The sequence below is a fragment of the Homo sapiens genome, chromosome 9, assembly GCF_000001405.40.
Source record: "Homo sapiens chromosome 9, GRCh38.p14 Primary Assembly".
In the NCBI taxonomy this organism is placed as follows: Eukaryota; Metazoa; Chordata; class Mammalia; order Primates; family Hominidae; genus Homo; species Homo sapiens.
The window spans coordinates 88,479,851-88,500,346 of NC_000009.12; the positions used below are offsets into that span (position 1 = coordinate 88,479,851).

Below are 20,496 nucleotides of genomic sequence, written 5' to 3' on the forward strand. Positions count from 1 at the left end.
TTGCCAAGCACTTTCCACACTATTTTGTTTAGTTCTTAATGGTCTTTTGAGGAAGAGGCAGAGATTGAGTATCTCACGCAGGATTATAGGGGAATGAAGACTCGGATCTCTATTTTGTGCCCAGACTCTGAGCTGCTTTATGAACACCTCAATTAAATTACTTCATTGGAGTGATTTGAGTAATCTATCTATAGTGTAATATTTTCTATGAATAATTTTCTGTAACCTTATTTCATAAGTTAATATCTAAAAAGTGTTTATTTCCAAATTGCCAAATAAAAGGTTTTATATTAGTCATTAGAATGTAGGCATCTGTGTCTCTGTATGCTAAGAATTATAACCCAAAATTATTTTTGTGCTTAAAAAATAAATGATGTCTCCACGATGGCACGCATATACTTATGTAACAAACCTGCACATTCTGCACATGTATCCCGGAACTTAAAAAAATTTTTTTTCCATAACTAAAAAAATAAAAATAATGATGTCTTTTTTGGAGAGAAAGTATGCTGAAGAAATTTTAATAACTTTTCATCACAAGAATATAGATACTTTATTTTAACTTTTAAATCTATTCATTTGCTTATTTATTTTGAGACTGGGTTATGAGACTGGCTAATTTTTGTATTTTTGGTAGAGACAGGGTTTCAACCATGTTGCCAAGGCTGGTCTCGAACTCCTGGGCTCAAGCCATCCACCCTTCTCAGCCTCCCAAAGTGCTGAGATTATAGGCGTGAGTCACGGCACCCAGCCAGATAACTATATTTTAAAGACACTTTGAATATATCATGAAAGTAATATCTTCATAAACCTAATTTTTTTAACCATACAGGAGACTTAAAAAGCCTAGATTTCTTTTGCTCATAACCTACAATCTTATGTTTAATTTTTATAGTAATGAGTTTGTTCTGTGTCATATACTGGTAAGTTTTAGGCAGCATGTGGAGTTGAGAGAATTCATTGAGTCTTTAAGTTACTTCTCCAGCCATTCCTAGAGTCTTCGTCTGCCCTTATGATTAGTTTTGGTAAACCAAGTAGCAGACGGTTTTTTAATAATGTCATGGCACATAAGTTTGCCTAAACATGACATTGGCATTCTTTCTGCTTAATTTTCAAGTGAGGGCCCTGGACCAAGTGGTGCGTCGGCCCCTGTCAGCTCTGAGGTGACACACAAGTGCGGGGCCTTGCTGTGCATTTGTTTTTTTACGTTGACTGTTCAGTGAGAGAGGAGGCTTACTCCTGGCTCTGCTTTTACCATCCTCTTTCTCATTATTTTCAGTGTATGCTTTCTGGAGGGAAAGTTAAGAGCTTTATATACCACACAAACTACCTAAAATCCTTAATAGGGTAAGCAGATTATACATAACTTTAAAATTGTCTGTTTCTATGTTGGAATTACTGAAGCAGATTATAATGTGAAAGGACAGAAAGCCTTTTAAAAACCTTTATGTTGGGCTGGGCGCGGTGGCTCATGCCTATTGTAATCTCAGGACTTTGGGAGGCCAAGGTGGATGGATCACAAGGTCAGGAGTTCGAGACCAGCCTGGCCAAAATTGTGAAACCCCATCTCTACTAAAAATACAAAAAAATTAGCCGGGTATGGTGGCGCACGCCTGTGATCCCAGCTACTCAGGAGGCTGAGGCAGAAGAATAGCTTGAACCCCGGAGGCAGAGGTTGCAATGAGTTGACATCGTGCCACTGCACTCCAGCCTGGACGACAGAGTCTGTACAAGACTCTGTCTCAAAAAAAAAAAAAAAAAAAAAAAAAAAACCTTGATGTTAACATAAGTAACAGTTGTTAACAACCCAGGGTTGAGTGGCAGCATTGTGAATTGTCTTCAGATACAGATCGTGAAAATAACTCTAAAGCTTTTTCCTCGAACTTGTCTTTCTGTGGCTTTGTAAAAAATTGGATAGCTGCTTTCCTTGGTCTTCCCTGCACCTGCACACCGTGTATACAAGTGTGAGCCTCTGGTCTTCTCATAGAAAAGTCTGATGACTGTTAGAGAAATGACATCAGCAGTAGGTCTTTTTCCTAAAGTCAGTCTTTATCCTGTAGTGTGTTTACTCTTTGTTTTATTTATTGGGGACCTGGTTTTAACAAAATGTTACTTCCAGTTTTTCTGTAATAACTATGGTAAAGTAGCTTTAACCACTAGATTAAAGTAGCCACTAGATTCTTAATTTAATCTAAATCTGATGGATGCTACTAAGGACAAAACTGGTCATTTTCAGAGCAGTCCTGTAGGGGAGAGCAGTGTGTCAAAGACAAGTAAGCACAGTGCAGGCCTATGCCTGGCACAGGGCTTGCCGCTGTTCTGCCGGCCTGTCATCATTGGGTGTCACTTAAGGCCTTACAATGTTTTGCTTTGTTTTTTTCTTTCTTTCTTTCTTTCTTTTTTTTTCCATAGAAGGCGTCTCACTGTGTTTCTCAGACTCATCCTAAACTTCTGGACTCAAGTGTTCCTCCCGCCTCAGCCTCCCAAAGTGCTGGGATTACAGGTGTGAGTAACCATGCCCGGCTGGCTTTATTTTTGATGTTTGAGATTACGCTTTCAGTTCCACACAGTCGATTTTGCTTGTTATATAATGTTCGTTTTTAGGAAGATTTTAGTTGTTACATTTTTTTAACAACACTAGCATCTTCCAGCGTATATAAAAATTGTAATAAGCAGTGTTAAGTTTCACATTTTCTACTTTATTGTGATTGAGAAGACTATACATCTAACTTTTATGAATAAAGTGACACATCTGTGTGTGTTTGTTTTTTCTTGAGATGGAGTCTCGCTCTGTCACCCATGCTGGAGTGCAGTGGTGTGATCTCGGCTCACTGCAGTCTCCACCTCCTCGGTTCAAGCTATTTTCCTGCTTCAGCCTCTCGAGTAGCTGGGATTACAAGTGCTTGCCATCACACCCGGCTAATTTTTGTATTTTTAATAGAAACAGGGTTTCACCATGTTGGCCAGGCTGGTCTCAAATTCCTGACCTCAGGTGATCCACCTGCCTTGGCCTCCCAAAGTGCAGTGGGCATGAGCCACTGCGCCCAGTTCGAAGGGAGAAATCTGTGTTTTAAGTTTGCTTTTGCATTGTCTTAGTGTTCATGAACACTAAATTGTCTTCTTAGTTCATTTGTGAAACATGGTGCTGGAGTTTGCAGTCTAAGCTCATGGCTAGATGAGTAGTGACTTAAACAGCAGGTCTGCTTTCAGAATGTATTCCTGCAGAGAGTTAAGCTGCATTCTTTTAAAACGGACAGTTGTGCCCAGTAAAGTTTATCTGTTGAATACTACAGAAAAGTAACCATCATTGTATTTGTTTCTACCTTTAGGCCTTAGATACGTGATGTATTTAATCAGTCTTTTTCTTTCAAATATAACCTGAAATAGTTGGTCTTTGGAAAAGTTTAAAAAGTTGATTGTGTTTCTAAAGGGAGAAATTTCCAGATGTTAAAATTCACCTTGAATTTTTGGACATTCCGGCCTGGTGCGGTGGCTCACACCTGTAATCCCAGCACTTTGGGAGTCCCAGGCGGGCGGATTACTGAGGTCAGGAGTTTGAGACCAGCCTGGCCAACATGGTGAAACCCCGTCTCTACTAAATATACAAAAAAAATAGCCAGATGTGGTGGCACACACCTGTAATCCCAGCTACTCGGGAGGCTGAGGCAGGAGAATTGCTTGAGCCCGGGAGATGGAGGTTGCAGTGAGCTGAGATCACACCACTGCACTCCAGCCTGGCCAACAGAGCAAGGCTCTGTCTCAAAAAAAAAAAAAAAAAGATTTTTTTGACATTGCATCACTAATTCAGTTTCTGGTATGGATTTATAACATTGGTCCTCACAATCTAAGTAAAGCTAGCTGCTTTATCAATTCCAACAGAATCTCATTCTCTTAATGTGTGCTCAAAAGAAATAACTATCAAGATTGCGGGAGTGATTTCTAAAGGCAAGTGGGTCATTTTATGTTCTTCCATGTGGAGCTTTGTGACGTAGCAGAGAGTGTGAGTGGTGTCAATAGTATGGCAAGAAAACTTGCATATTTTGGTCCTGAGAAAGTGAAGGTAGTAGGCTGCCTTCCTAAAGGATTAGCAATTTAAGGGACGTTCTAGACCTCTAGTCTAGAAAATGTAACTGTTGGCTGGGCGCCATGGCTGACACCTGTAATCCCACACTTTGGGAGGCCGAGGTGGGCAGATCACCTGAGGTCAAGAGTTCGAAACCAGCCTAGCCAACATGGTGAAACCCCGTCTCTACTAAAAATACAAAAATTATCTCGGTGTGGTGGCACGTACCTTTAATCCCAGCTACTCAGGAGGCGGAGGCACAAGAATTGCTTGAACCCGGGGAGGCAGAGGTTGCAGTGAGCCGAGATCACGCCACTGCACTCCAGCCTGAGCAACAGAGGGAGACCCTGTCTCAAAAATAAAACAAAAAAAGAAAATGTAACTGCAGGTGAAGGTTTAATTAAACTTCTTTAGACTGGAATTTCACATGTTTTATCTATCAACTTTTGTTAAGAGGTAGGATCTCTTTTTGTCCCAGGCTGGAGTGCAGTGGTACAGTTACAGCTTACTGTAACCTTGAACTCCTGGGCTCAAGTGATCCTCCCAAGTAGCTAGACTACAGACAGGTGCCGCCACAGCCAGCTGATTTTTCAGAGACAGGATCTCTCTATGTTGCCCATGCTGGTCTTGAACTCCTGGCCTCGAGCCATCCTCCCACCTCGGCCTCCCAAAGTGCTGGGATTTGAGGCATGAGACACCCACACTCGGTCTTCAAGTTTTTATTGTAACTTATAAGCAAGTCAGTTCCAACTTAAATTGGTTTCAATGCTATTTAGATAGTAGCTAAAGTATGTATTTTCTTCTAGTATATTTTTAAAATGTGGGTATATATAAATAACTTCATAACCCACCTAAAATATTTTATGGGATAAAGTGGATATAAATAATTTTGTCCTTAGAAAGTTCTTTGCCATCTAATTATCATTTTTTAACATCTATTATTCCATAAATTCATAGGGACTAGGTTCCAGCAGCCCAGGCTCCTTTCCATTGGTTCTCACAAAGTGCGCTTCTCTGGGTAGAGCAGGCTGGCGTTTAGTGGAACCCAGACACCTTTCTCTGGCTTCCTCCTTTTTTCCAATCATTTTCCTTCACGAATTTCAGGAAGCTGTCCTGGCTCTTAAGAGTGCTCAGTATACTCTATACATAACACACATTAATTGTCTTAAGAATCTTGCCCTTACCTTGTTTACAACAATACCAACAGCATGTGGGTAACATTATAGACTGCTCCAGTTTTGCCATGGTAACATCTGTGGGCATTCCTTCTTGAACAGTACCCATTCCCTTAATGTCTACAATATCACCTTTCTTTACAGATACACATATATATGGGCAAAGGGACAACTCCAGGTTTTCTAAAAGGTTTAGAGGAAATATATCAGGTGCCTCTCTTCTTTCCTTTTGTTCATAATTTTGGCAAATTACTGGAAGATGGTGGTTCGGGCCAAAAGGAATAATTACAAATTTTTAAACTGTCATGTTGAAGAATTCTTTCTTCCTAGATAAATGTAAATTGACATGGTGTTCCACCACCTATCCTCAGAGATGCAGTTAGCAGAAATGGCTCCTAAAATTAGTGGTCACTGTTACATTATAAAAATTTGTCAGGCCAGGCACGGCGGCTCACGCCTGTAATCCCAGCACTTTGGGAGTCCAAGGCGGGTGGATCACTTGAAGTCAGGACTTGGAGACCAACCTGGGCAACATGGTGAAACCCTGTGTCTACTATAAGTACAAAAAAAATTAGCCAGGCATGGTGGCAGGTGCCTGTAATCCCAGCTACTTAGGAGGCTGAGGCAGGAGAATCGCCTGAACCTGGGAGGTGGAAGTTGCAGTGAGCCGAGGTGGCACCATTGCAACGGAGTGAGAAGCTGTCTCAAAAAAAAAAAAAAAAAAAAGCCTGTAAATGAACTTATATGGTGGTTATGATTTGGGGGATTTAGGGAGTACTGTGCCAGGTGGCAGTTGGACTTAGATTCTGGTAAGAATCAGCCTTAGGCAGAGATTTTGTAGTCTGTTCTGTTCTCTATTTTAAAATGTCTCTGTGCCTTAGTTTCTTTTCTTGCATGATTTTCTTAACATGTTTGAACTTCTGATTTATCTAGAATAACAGTATGGTTTCCTATTTTTTTAAAACACTCTGGAAAGATTAATTTGGTTTTGCGAAGTGTCACATTCAGTGACAGTACATTGCCTATAAAACTAGCAACATAATTTGAATCACTAACATGTTTTTTTCTTTTTTTTGAGACAGAGTTTCGCTCTTGTTGCCCAGGCTGGAGTGCAATAGCACGATCCTGGCTCACTGCAACCTCTGCGTCCTGGGTTCAAGTGATTCTCCTGCCTCAGCCTCCCGAGTAGCTGGGATTACAGGCATGCACCACCACGCCCGGCTAATTTTGTATTTTTATTAGAGACGGGGTTTCTCCATGTTGGTCAGGCTGGTCTCGAACTCCCAACCTCAAGTGATCCGCCCGCCTTGGCCTCCCAAAGTGCTGGGATTACAAGTGTGAGCCACTGCGCCCAGCCACTAACATGTTGTTGTCTATAAATCATTTGTGTCTATTGTAAGTGTGACTAGTCATAAGCTTTCCATTGCTCAGTTTTTTTGGGGGTTTGTTTTTTTTTGAGACGGAGTTTCACTCTTGTTGCCCAGGCTGGAGTGCAGTGGCGCAATCTCAGCTCACTGCAGTCTCCGCCTCCCTTTAAGCGATTCTCCTGACTCTCAGCCTCCTGAGTAGCTGGGATTACAGGCATGCACCCCCATGCCCGGCTAATTTTGTATTTTTAGTAGAGACGGGGTTTCACCATGTTGGTCAAGCTGGTCTCGAACTACTGACCTCAAGTGATACACCTGTCTCAGCCCCCAAAGTGCTGGGATTACAGGCGTGAGCCATCGCACGCGGCTGCTCACTTAGTTTAGGTACTTTCCACTGTTTATGTCTTAAAACTAACGATGACATCTGGACTTTGGACTAGAAACGTCAAGCTGATGAAGTCGTTTGTTCTTGTGTGCTTCTGTGATGATCCATGGAGGAGCTTAAGTCTAAAGATTGCCATTTTGCTATAGCTTTCAGGAAGAGAAAATAAAAAGTAAAATACAAATTGAAGCATGTTCTCAGTTTACAGTCATAATTCTAGCTGAGCATTAGCGGACAGAATGTTAATACTTTGGAATCCACCAAGGCCATTTCTGCATCTGCCCCAGAACAACACAAATGCACAGGACTTTTGTTCCAGCGTGATTCATTTAGCTACAGTCAAGACCTTTGGCTGGTCAGGCATTGTATCTGTTACTTCTTATGTTTTATGTGCACAGTGTTCTATAGTTTTATCATGAATTGAAAGGTTAAGTTTCAAGTTCCTTCCCATTCCACAGAAAAATATCCAGAAACTTTCCTAGTTCCTATGTCTTTATACTATAAAATTTCCTAAGATCATTTTTATGTTTTTTTTTTTCTACTCTTTAAAAATAGCTGTAGTTACAGTGTCAAATTAGAACGGGGAACAAGGTGCTGATGTGATTCTGGTTGGACACTGTCTTGAAGGATCTGGGTGAATCACCAACTTAAAATCTCATGTTCTGAGCTCTACTTCCATGGAAAAAATACCAGCTTTATCTTTCCGATGGGCATATTGTGGGATTTAATGGATTTCAAAAATGTTCATAAAATTTTGGGAAAGAAACTATTAAAATGGGACTTTAAAGTTCCTTTTATAACTAACCATAATATCAACTGCCTTTGCACTTTGTAAAAACCGGAATGTCTTAAAGTAAAATTGTTGTAGTTTTATTGAGGATTCTTGTGATAGTATAATTTTGTGCTTTTTTTTTTTTTTTTTAAAGGAACAATTTTAAGAATCTCATGTCATGAAGAATTTTTTTCAGATTAAGTTCTAGTTCAGTGTTTGGGAAGTACTATCTAGTGAAAACATTCTGGGTTTGAATGAGTTTGAGAAGAAAATTCCCGAAAAAGAAACGTATGACAGTACCTAATTGAAAAAATGAGGAAGTTAATTCATATAGTGCCTATAAGGTACCTTTAAGCATTAGAAGAAATGCTCTGAGCAAGTTCCTCTCAAGTTCAGCAGAGTCAATCTTTAGGTCGGTCTCCATGTCAGGCTTTCACATGCTGAGACCCAGGTTGTGGTTAAGGGGCACCTCCAGCTGTGCTGATCAAGGCACCCCAGGACCCCTCTCCATCGTGGTTCTCTGGCCGACTGCTGAGTTGGTTAAGCACAGCATTTCCTATGATGTGATGATTGGTGTTACAGGTCGCATGAGTGGTGCTGGTGTCACTTACAGAAGCCTCTGCAAGATCCAAGAAGTAGTCTAGGCCCGGTGCCCAATGAGAATTATAGTCCCTGGTGAAGAAATGCAGCTCTCAACTGATAATTTCCTGTCAGCTGGATGCAGGGATGACTCTTACACCTCAGAAAGTCAAGATATCTGCTTGTCGTGGAGCCTGTGCTGCCTGGCTGCCCCTCAGGCTACTTTCTAGTGGGAGAAATGGTGCCCATTGAGTCATAAACGGAAGGCTGGACCTTTCCATGGTTATGCTCCTGTTGTGGATGGTCAGGACTGTAGAAAAGGGCCTCACAGTACAGAAAGAAGAGCCAAATCTGAATCCTAATGGACCAGGCTGGATTTATAGCCTCAGAGGTTGCCCTGGTTTAATGTTGTAGCAGAATGAGTGGTAGCAGGGAAGGCCAGTCAGGGTCTAATTGGCTGCTTCTACTTTAACCACTTCTTGGAGACAGGATTGCAGGGCAAAGAGCTGTTGGCCAGCCTCAGGTTGCTTGTTGGGAGTCAGCAACTAGCTAGGTATCATGTAACTTAATTAGCTGATGGCTGGCATGACCATTTTCTCTCATACAAGTTATTCCCCAGTCTTTTTTTTTTTTTTTTTTTTTTTTTTGAGACAGTCTTGCTCTGTTGCCCAGGCTGGAGTACAGTGGCACGATCTCGGCTCACTGCAACCTCTGCCTCCCGGGTTCAAGCAATTCTGCCTCAGCCTCCCGAGTAGCTGAGATTACAGGCACATGCCACCACGCCCGGCTAATTTTTGTATTTTCAGTAGAGACGGGGTTTTACCATATTGGCCAGCCTGGTCTTGAACTCCTGACCTTGTCATCTGCCCGCCTCGGCCTCCCAAAGTGCTGGGATTGCAGTTGTGAGCCACTGCGCCTGGCCTCCCAGTCTTCGTACCTTTATTTCCCTTGCCTTATCAACAGTTAACACTTTTTAAAAGGTCATGAGCCCAACCCCTTCCAGAAAATTCAGTTGCTACCTTAGATCCTTAAAAAGTGGTGTTTTGTTTGCTTTTTGTTCATCAGTATCTGCCATTGTGCTTCTAACTCACCATTAAGTTACTCCTCTGGGGCAGAAAGAAATTAGAGATCCAAGAGACAGGAATTTATTGCACATTAAGTTTGTTACTCATCAGAGATGGATGGTCTTTAAGAGTGATCAGTAAGAATGTGAGATTGTTATTGCCATTAAAGACAAAATTACCAACTTAGCTTAGATCTTAACAGGCATTTATTCATGATTTTAGAATCGGATAGCCCTCCAAACCAGGGTAGGTTCAAAGAACTCCCATCTGTCACGTGGCCAGACGGCATTTATGAACAGAAAACAGAAATGAGGTAGAGAAAAACGACTGATACACAGAGACAGCTTGATTGATAACCACTCGATGTGTACCTTTTTATATAATTTAAACAGTGCCTGTGTTGACTGGCTGCTATGATTGTCTGAGACTGTTACAAAAGTATGAAAACATCTACTGTTATGCACTGTAATGTCACTCATCGCTTTTGATGGGAACACTTTTTGCAAAATTTTATATTTCGTTGTAGGAACATCTTAGAGTATACTTATACAATCCTAGAAGGTATAGCCTACTACACACCCAGGCTGCCTGGGATAGCCTGCTGCTCCTAGGCTACCAACCTGTCCAGCGTGTCACTGTACTGAATACTGTAGGCAGTTGGAACACAATGGTATTTGCATGTAAACACACCAAACAGAAAAGGTGCAGTAAAAATACAGTATTATAATTCTTTTTTTTTTTTTTTTTTTTTTTTGAGATGGAGTCTTGCTCTGTTGCCCAGGCTGGAGTGCAGTGGCGCAATCTCAGCTCACTGCAACCTCCACCTCCCAGGTTCAAGCAATTCTCCTGCCTCAGCCTCCTGAGTAGCTGAGATTACAGGCATGCACCACCATGCCCAGCTAATTTTTGTATTTTTAGTAGAGACAGGGTTTCACCATGTTGGTCAGGCTGGTCTTGAACTCCGGACCTTGTGATTCGCCCGCCTTGGCCTCCGAAAGTGCTGGGATTACAGGCGTGAGCCACTGTGCCTGGCCTAGTATTAGAATCTTATGGGACCACTGTCTATGTGCTGTCTGCTATTGACTAAAATGTCATTATGCCATGCATGACTGTATGCCTAAATTGGGCATTCAGTTAGTTCCATACTAAGTTAGGTTGCAGTTCATTACCCTAAGGACTTATGTACTGAGGTGTCCTCAGGCCAGATACTTTTAACCCACCTCAGGCGAGTGCTGAATGCAGTGCGAGTGCCAGCTACGGCAACTGTGTGAGGGGTGTTGAAAGTACAGATTCTTGAGCTTCACCCAGACTGAAATTAGGGCCCAGGAAACTGCAGTTTAAGAAGCACGTTCCCCCCACCCTTAAGTAACGTTAGAGGCACGGACCTACCATCACTCAGGTTAAAGAACTACCATTTTAGATTTTGGAGGTAGTTAAAAGTCATGGAGTTTTTTTTATTTTCTAATATTTGCAAGGCTGTATCTCAGGGATGAGGAGAAAATGATTTTATGCTCCTAATGACCTGAATCTTCCTGTTTCAAACCTGCGATTAAGTTTTATATCAATATATGAATCTTAAAAGAGTTTGGAACTGTGGGATTGATTAAAGTTGTTGAGTTTGGAGTTCTGTGAATGTGCCTTCCAGATTGCTGAGATTATCAGCACATAGTGTTACAGTCGTCCCTCAGTTTCCAGGACCCCTACAGATGCCAAAAACCATGTAGACTTAAGTTCCTTATATAACATGGTGTAGTATTTGCATATAACCTGCACACGTCTTCCCATATACTTTAAATCATCTCTAGATTACTTATAATGCCTAATACAATGTAAATGCTATATAAATAGCTGTTCTACTGTACTTGTTAATGAATATTATTTTTGTTGTTTTTTTCCCAAATATTTCTGATCCATGATTGGTTGAATCCACAGATGCGGAAGACCAGCTGTACTTGTGACTTGCCCATTCATGAGCCAGGCTTAGTTTTACCTATAGCCCCAGCCAGGTGACCCTTATCTGCCTTTGGCTATTAAGAAGGGACTGTTCTTGATGGGGAAAAACCTTCAGGCATCAGTACAAATGATGTTGGTAGTTTAATCAGCAATGAAGCTCAGTCACTTTTAGATGACCTCTGGTTTATTCCTGAAAGCATACAAAACAAGAAGAGTGCTGCCAAACATTTAAAGAAGAAAACATACCATTTTTCACAGACTCAGGAAGAAGAAGAGTAAGGAATACTTACCAACTCATTCTGTGAAACCAGTATTACCCTGATAGAAAATCCCTCATGAAAATATTGATAGTTACAAAAAACCATGAACAAGTCAAATAACATATAGAAAGATTTAGCTACATGGCCAGGTGAGACATGTTTAATACCAGAAAAACAATGTATTTTACCTATTAATAGATGACAGAAGGCAGGAGTCATCTCAAATGATGGGGAAAGAGCATTTGACAAAATCTAACACATATTCATGATAAAAATGGAAAAAAACTGGAATAGAAGATAATTTTTTCAGTCTGATAAAAGGCATCCATAGGCCAAGTGCGATGGCTCATGCCTGTAATCCCAGCACTTTGTGAGGCCGAGGCGGGCGGATCCCTTGAGGTCAGGAGTTTGAGACCAGCCTGGCCAATATGGTGAAACCCCGTCTCTACTAAAAATACAAAAATTAGCCAGGCGTGGTGGCAGTTGCCTGTAGTCCCAGCTACTTGGGAGGCTGAGGCAGGAGAATCGCTTAAACCCAGGAGGCGGAGGTTGCGGCAAGCCAAGATCGCGCCACTGCACTCCAGCCTGGGCGACAGAACAAGACTCCATCTCAAAAAAAAAAAAAAAAAAAGACATCCATAAAAAGAAGTTACCGATAACATTATACTTACGACGAGAGAATATACCCCTAAGATCAGTAGTAAGTCAAGGGTGTCTATACACACCCCTCATTATTGACATTGTACTGCAGTTTCTAACCAGTGCAATAAAGCAAGGAAAAGCATCCAGATTGGCAAGGAAGAAATAAAGTTGTCTTGCTTTGCAGATGACATAATTCTGTATGTAGAAAATCCTAAAGGGTACATATAACCACACTCGTGTGCACACAACGGAGCTGATGAGTTCAGCAAGGTTGTAAGATACAAGATGTATATACGAAAATTAGTTGTATATGTCTATATTGCAATATAGCAATAAATTGTGAAAACAAAACTAAACAATACTGTCCACAGTAGCATCAAAAAGGTCAAAATAGAGCCGGGTGCGTTGGCTCTAGCCTGTAATCCCAGCACTTTGGGAGGCCGAGGTGGGAGGATCACGAGGTCAGGAGTTCGAGACCAGCCTGGCCAACAGGGTGAAACCCTGTCTCTACTAAAACTACAAAAATGAGCTGGGTCTGGTGGTGTATGCCTGTAGTCCCAGCTACTTGGGGAGCTGAGGCAGGAGAATCTCTTGAACCTGGGAGGTAGAGGTTGCAGTGAGCAGAGATCACGCCACTGCACTCTAGCCTGGGCAACAGAGCAAGACTCCATTTCAAAAAAAAAATCAAAATACTTCAGAATAAATTTGACAAAAGTGCAAGATTTGTACACTGAAAACTGCAAAATATGGCTGAGAGGAATTAGTGACTACATAAATGGAGAGACATTCCATGTTCATAGGTTAGAAGACTCAAGATGGCAGTCCCTATCAAAATCCCAGCAGGCTTTTTTTCAGTAATTAACAAGCTGATCCTAAAATTTTTATGGGAATGCAAAGGACTCAGAATAGTCAAAAAAAAAATCTTGAAAAATAACAAATTTGGAGCATTTCCAAATGATAAAATTTACTATAAAGGTGTAGTAATCAAGACAATGTGGTATAAGGATAGACATATATATGTATATATCAATTGAAGATTTGAGGGTCCTGAAATTAGCCCTTAGATTCATTCTTAATCAGTTTTGCTCACAGGTGCCAAGGCATTTCAATGTGGAGAAGATTTGCCCTTTCGACAAATGAGGCTTGAAGCATTGGATATTCACATGCAAAATGATGGATTTAGATCCTTATATTTTCCACAAAAATTAACTCAAAATGGACCATACACCCAAATGTAAGAGTTAAAACTCTAAAACTTAGAAGAAAACATGGGCAAGAATTTTCATGACTCTGGGTTGGGCAAAAATTTCTCGTGTGACACCAAAAGCACAATCTTTCAAAGGTAAAATTGATGAATTGGTACGGTGCGGTGGCTCACACCCGTAATCCCAGCACTTTGGGAGGCCCAGGCAGGTGGATCACGAGGTCAGGAGTTGGAGACCAGACTGGCGAACATGGAAAAAGCCCATCTCTACTCTAAAAATACAAAAAAATTAGCTGGGCATGGTGGGCACCCGTAATCCGAGCTACTCAGGAGGCTGAGGCAGGAGAATCACCTGAAACCACGAGGCAGAGGTTGGAGTGAGCCAACATTGTGCCACTGCACTCCAGCCTGGGCGACAGAGCGAGACTCTGTCTCAAAAAAAAAAACAAAAAAAAAAAAACTAATGAATTGGACTTCATCTAAGTTAAAAACTTGTGTCTCATAAGCCACCATTAAAGAAATGAAAAAAATTACAGATGGGAAAAAGTATTTGCAAATCATATTGATAAAAGATTTATATCTAGAATGTATGAAGAAATCTTCAGGAAGTAATTCATGTAAAAGACAAAGGATTTGAATAGATATTTCTCTAAAAGAAGATATAAAATGGCCAATAAACATTGAAAAGATGCTCAACATCTTTGGCCATTAGAGAAATACTAATTAAAAGTATGAGATACCACTTCTCTCACACTAGGGTGACTATAATAAAAGATAGTAAGAAGTGTTGGTCAGGGTGTTGAGAAACTAGTTGCAGCCCCTTTGGATAGCAGTTTGGTAATTTCCTATGGTAAATACAAATTTACCATATTCGTAGGAATAGACCCATGTGAATTTTAAAATATATGTCTATAGGAAACTTGTAAACTAATACTTGTAGCTGCATCATGTAGTTCATATAGATCTTTGTATCTCTATTCTTGGTGCCAAACTGGAAATAACCCAAATTTCCATAAGCTGGTGAATTGATAAACACAGTAGGTTATATACGCACAAAGGAATCTTGCTCAGATATGAAAAGTGACGAAGTACATGCTACAACATGGATGAACCTCAAAAACTGATAAAATGAAAGAAGCCAAGGGGAAAATACCATGTATTGTATGGTTCCATTTATATGAAATGTCCTGAAGAGGGAAAACTGTAGGGACAGGAAGTGGATTAGCAGGGGGCTGGGATTTGGGCTGCCTGTGGACAGTAGCTGCGAATGGGCACAAGGAGCCCTTTTGGGATGAGGGGAATGTTTAAGATTGGTTAAAATTACTAAAATAAGTAGAATAGGTGATTTTATGACCTGTATGTAAATTCCACCTCAATAAAGCTGTTCAAGGCTCCTGAGATGAGACATGAATTCTAAAAGGAAAGTGTGGGAAGAAGTTTATGATTGTGGTTGTGGGCTGGTGCCTTAGAATTTGTTTTTTGCTTTTGTTTGAGACAGGGTCTTGCTCTGTCGCCCAGGCTAGAGTGCAGTGGGTCAGTCTCAGCTCCCTGCAGCCTCTGCCTCCCGGGTTAAAGTGATTCTCCCACCTCAGCCTCCCAAGTAGCTGGGATTACAGGCACACGCCACCATGCCTGGCTACGTTTTGTATTTTTAGTAGAGATGGCATTTCACCATGTTGGCCAGGCTGGTCTCAAACTTCCAACCTCAGGTGATCCTCCCATCTCAGTCTCCCAAAGTGCTGGGGTTACAGGTATGAGCCACCGGGCCGGGCCTTAGCACTTGTATTGCTAACAAGCTCCCAGGTGGCGTGTTGCTTCCATTCAAAGCCCTGGGACTAGACCCAGTGCCCTGTGTGATAGGATATCCACTTGTGTCTGAATGAGGTGAATGCCTGAGGGGGGCCCTGATCGCCATGGTGCTCCGGGTAAAATCTGGTGACCAGTGACAGGGCTGAAGTCCTGAAAAGCTAAAGGTTTCCCCTTTAGGAAAGAAAATGGTGAAAACCAAAAGATCCTGAGGAGGAGGCTGTCATGAGTTGCAAAGCTCTTGTTGAAAAGCGCGGGAGGAGTGGCTGAGATCAAGAACAGGAACACAAGAAGCTACAAGTGCTGGCTGAGCTGGGCATCCAGGCACAGCCACGGAGATGCGCTCCCGGAAGCAGCTTGTCACTCGGCCTGTGGACACTGCAGGGGACAGGGCTGAGTGAGCGAGACCGTGCTGCAAGGCCCACAAGTGACCAAGCGCTCAACGAAGTACCTTGGCCCTGGGCAGGCCCTCCTGATGCTGGAAATCCGGTCCTGCCTGGAGACTCAAGGAAGGTTAGCCAGTGAGAAAGGCAGATCCCAAAGACATGGCCCACAGACCAGAGTGCAAAAGGCCGAAACCAAACCCCAAGAATACAAGCAAAACAGTTAAGCTGAGTATAGACCCTCATGCAGTTTATTTTCACTCCTTGTAGTTCTTTATCTGAAATCTGCTTTAGGTGAGTTTAGCTGGGAATTAAGTTGGTTGTGCTAGGGAGGGCACTGCCCTCAGGGTGGGAACTGTGAGGAGGTGGACTTGGGTCATCGGGCTGTGGCCAAGAGCCCCCTTTTTGTTACTATTGAGCGGTCTCACCAGGATTTCCCTCCATCAAAATTCGGGCCGGACGTGATGGCTCACGCCTGTAATCCCAACTTTGTAATGGGGAGGCTGAGGCAGGAGGATCATTTGAGGTCAGGAGTTCGAGACCAGACTGACCAACATGGTGAAACCTCATCTCTACTAAAAAATACAAAATTAGCCCGGCATGGTTGTGCATGCCTGTAATCCCAGCTACTTGGGAAGCTGAGGCAGGAGAATTGCTTGAACCTGGGAGGCGGAGGTTGCAGTGAGCTGAGATCATGCCATTGCACTCCAGCCTGGGCAACAAGAGTGAAACACTCTCTCAAAAAAAAAAGAAAAAGAAGTTCAAGACTAGCCTGGGCGACATGGTGAAAATACAAAAATTAGCTAGGTGTGGTGGTGGGTACCTGTAATCCCAGCTACTTGGGAGGCTGAGGCAGGAGAATCACTTGAACTTGGGAGGTGGAGGTTGCAGTGAACTGAGATCACGCCACTGCACTCCAGCCTGGGCAACAAGCAAGACTCCGTCTAAAAAAAAAAAGAATTCAGGCTACTGCTGTGAGAAACCGGCTCTGCCAAAGAACCTTCCAGAGCCCACTTTGGAGATGGGAGGAAACTCGTTTGTGCATGCTCCATGCATATATGCCCTGCACCATGTTTGTGTGGATTTGAAATGTGCTGGCTGGAGCAAATGTGAGAGCACACAGATGACAGTGTGGAGGGCCAGAAGCAGTGGTGGTCATCTGACATCTGTGGTTCTGTGGGGTGTTTTGAAAGTTTTTTTGAGAAAAATTAGCTATGGAGGCGATCTTACAAGTCAGCCCAGCACCAGGGTCAATTTATATGGGAAAATATCCCATCAAGGTCCTGCACAGGGCCGGGTGCACTCCGTAGCGCGTCCACTGACACCAGACCATGCATGGGGCTCGCCCGAGAGTCAGGCCTGGCTCTTCACGTTCCCTTGTGCTGCCTCCTTCCCGTGTCCAAAATGGACATGGATGAGAGAAGGAAGCAAAAGGTATGTTTAATCCTTTGCTGCCAAAGTCCCTGGACTTTGAGGGAGAAACAGATCAAACATGTCAGAGGCCTTTGGGGTGGGGAAAGGGAAAGTCATTTGCGAAACAGAATGCCATCCAGGAGCAGATGCTAGCAGGGACAGTCTGGAGGCGAGATGTTACGGAGGCTGTTTGGGATAACAATTCATATGGATTTCAAGAGTCTCTTCTACTGGAATCCCTTGCTGGAGGGAGCACCTTATTTTTGCTGTTCTAATGCCTTCTGTGTGTGTTTTTGGTCACAAGGTTTCTCCATGTCAGGTTCCACTGCTGTCATTCAAGGGATATTCTCGCTTTACTGGTGTGACTGGGGATCCCCTCTATATTTCCCTTTTGGTGTCCTTTGCAAGCCACCCTAGGCCCTCCCACTGTTTCCATGGACTGCATCATCTTTGTGTGAGCTAGCGGTCAGTCCAGTGCCAGCTCCAGCCTTGTCCCCACAGGCAGTGACTGCCAGGGCCCTGTCTCCTCTCAGGCTTGGGACATGCATCTTTCTCCAAGATCCACCCAAGAATGATAGCAGGGGTCCAGATCTAAAGGGAAGATGTGCCTTTGGGGCTCCAATGGGCCTCACTCTCCATTCTTATGTGTCCATGTTTGCCCTGTCTCAGTTTTTGAGGAGAGCAACTCAAGGTCATGCCAACCACACTCATTCTGTTGTGAGAGCTGTGCTTTCACCTGAATGCTCTGTATATATTTGAAAATCTGTAGTGTCACGTGCAAATTCAAGTTTTAAGAATGCCTGTACTACAGTGAAGGTGGAGTGGCTGCGCTTGGGAACTGGTTACTTTCTTTGTACAGCAGAAGAACTGTGAGATGGGCTTGAGGCCAAGGGAAAAGGGAATTAGAATGATGCCACTGTCTGCCTCTGACAGGGAAAACCTTAACCTGGACGTTATACCCCGTGTCACAGAAGACTCAGGCAGCAGCCATTCCAGACCTGCTTTGGTTGATTTTATGTCTGTCTGTGTGTGTGTGCTAGCCCCACTGAGTATCAGTGATATTCTTATCTAAATTACATGCCAAAGAATAAAGCCAAGTGTCTGGCCTAGGCAGGGTGTTTTCCTCTCTATTTTGGAGAAATTGTGGTTATAGCAGTAATGAATAACAGTTAATGGATACACAGCAGCCATGCTGGATTGGGAGGCTGCCTCCGAAAGTGCACCCCCGCCCCCAGAGACTTTGTTATAAGTTTGAGATTGCCTTTTTAAATCTCCATTTGATAACTGATCCAAAGAAGTTCTTAGAATTGCTAGGCATGGTGGCTCACGCCTGTAATCCCAGCACTTTGGGAAGCCAAGGCAGGCGGATCACCTGAAGTCAGGAGTTCAAGACCAGCCTGACCAACATGGAGAAACCCCTTCTCTACCAAAAATACAAAATTAGCTGGGCATGGTGGCGTGTGCTTGTAATCCCAGCTACTTGGGAGGCTGAGGCAGGAGAATCGCTTGAACCTGGGGGACACAGGTGGCGGTGAGCTGAGATCGCACCACTGCACTCTAGCCTGGGCAACAAGAGTGAAACTCCGTCTAAAAAAAAAAAAAAAAAGAAATTCTTAGAATTATGATTACTTGATAGTTGCTGTTAAGAAGTAGAATCTAATCTACCAGGGTATCTTTGAATGAAAGTCTCTTAAGAATAAAGCATTGTTTGGATTTGTGGGTGTGAGGACCTAGAGAGACGCTTGGAAACTCTCACTTAGGGGAGACGGGCACAGAAATGTCTTGACATGGAGCATACATATGGGGATAGGACCTTATGCTCGGTTATAATTTCCTTCCTCGTGTTGTCTGCGGATAGCTACTATCAAGACAGTGCCGCTTATAAACACTCTCCAAGTGAGTACCAAGCTGGCTGGACCTCCCCAGGATCAAGCTGCCTCAGCTTGGAATTTTAGAAGCACCTCTTGGAAGAAGCCAAGATGGAGAGAAATTTTGTGTAGGCCAGGAACGTTCCAAACACCTGGAAGCCAAAGTAAGCTTAGCTGTAAAAGTAACGTTCCAAACACCCGGGAGCCAAAGTAAGATTAGTAAGATTAGCTGAGCACATCTTACTAACACCCAACAAAATAAGGACTCAAGGAGAACTGTGCCTGCCCAAGGGCACTGGGCAGGAGCCCAAGTCATGCCCTTCTCATTGTAGTAAGAGCTCAAATTTAATGAACCACAGAACACAGGCACACACAGGGACTTCGATCCATGTGTATGTTTTCTATATAGAGCATAAAATTCTTCACAGTCACCTTACCCTGACAGGCATTGTTACCACGCCCGTGTTACAGAAGGGGCAGGCTGAGTGTGTTGGGGGGGAACTTAGCCTGTGGTCTGAGGATCTAAGGAAGCTCCATAGAGCTCCCTGTGATGGAGAAAATGTTCTGTCTGTGCTGCCCAGGATGGTAGCCATGAGCCACACATGGCTTCAGAGGGCTGGAAATGGGGCTTATGAGACGGCAGAACTGAATTTTTAGATTTATTTCACTTTGGACCGGGCGCGGTGGCTCACGCCTGTAATCCCAGCACTTTGGGAGGCTGAGACGGGCAGATCACGAGCTCAGGAGATTGAGACCATCCTGGCTAACACGGTGAAACCTCGTCTCTACTAAAAATACAAAAAATTAGCCGGGCATGGTGGCAGGCGCCTGTAGTCCCAGCTATTGAGGAGGCTGAGGCAGGAGAATCACTTGAACCAGAGAGGCAGAGGTTGTAGTGAGCTGAGATCGCGCCACTGCACTCCAGGCCGGGCGAAAGAGCGAGCTTTTGTCTCAAAAAAAAAAAAAGATTTATTTCACTTAATTTAAATAGCCATGTGTGGCCAGTAGCTCTTGTGTCAGTGCAGGCAAGGTGCCACTCTGCGTCTTAACTTGGGGGTAGTCTGTTTATTGCTGTTCTTTAAACTGTGCAGCTAAGTGTTAATACTCATTAGTATGCATGGTAAACCCCACACTTTGAAAGGTTGTGGTCCGCCTCCTCCAGTCTCTCCCATTAGTGTCTGAGTATGACTTTTCCAGTGGCTTCTGTTCAGATCAGTCCAGGCCATCTTGCTTCTCTTGCTCAGCAATGCCACGAAGTCAGTCACATATATAAGAGGGTCTCTGACTGGGGCCTTGTACCCCAGCCAGCTGTCTTTAAGATTGTCACTGTTTTATTTATCCCTTGATTAGATCACATGATAGCCAGTGGATCACTGTTTCTAATTTGCTGCAACAAATGAAGTTGCTCTGCCGGGTACAGTGGCTCATGCCCATAATCCCAGCTACTCGGGAGGTTGAGGCAGGGGGATCACTTGAGGCCAGGAGTTCAAGACCAGCCTGGACAACATAGCAAGACTCTGTCACTACAAAAAACAAAACAGAACAAAATTAGCCAGGCATGATGC

The 20,496-nt window shown here is 43.2% G+C and overlaps 1 pseudogene, besides 2 other annotated features; it reads right to left on the minus strand.

Annotated features, from left to right (window-relative positions):
• Positions 5,002–5,471, minus strand: RPL21P85 (ribosomal protein L21 pseudogene 85; annotated as a pseudogene).
• Positions 8,185–8,244: an enhancer, noted in NCBI's record as "active region_28524". NCBI's record gives its function as "activates an Ori minimal core promoter by ATAC-STARR-seq in GM12878 lymphoblastoid cells {active_cell/tissue: GM12878}" and the evidence as "EXISTENCE:reporter gene assay evidence [ECO:0000049][PMID:35858748]".
• Positions 15,634–16,175: an enhancer, noted in NCBI's record as "H3K27ac-H3K4me1 hESC enhancer chr9:91110399-91110940 (GRCh37/hg19 assembly coordinates)". NCBI's record gives its function as "activates a minimal SCP1, AML or CMV promoter by ChIP-STARR-seq in naive H9 embryonic stem cells {active_cell/tissue: H9 hESC(naive)}" and the evidence as "EXISTENCE:reporter gene assay evidence [ECO:0000049][PMID:30033119]".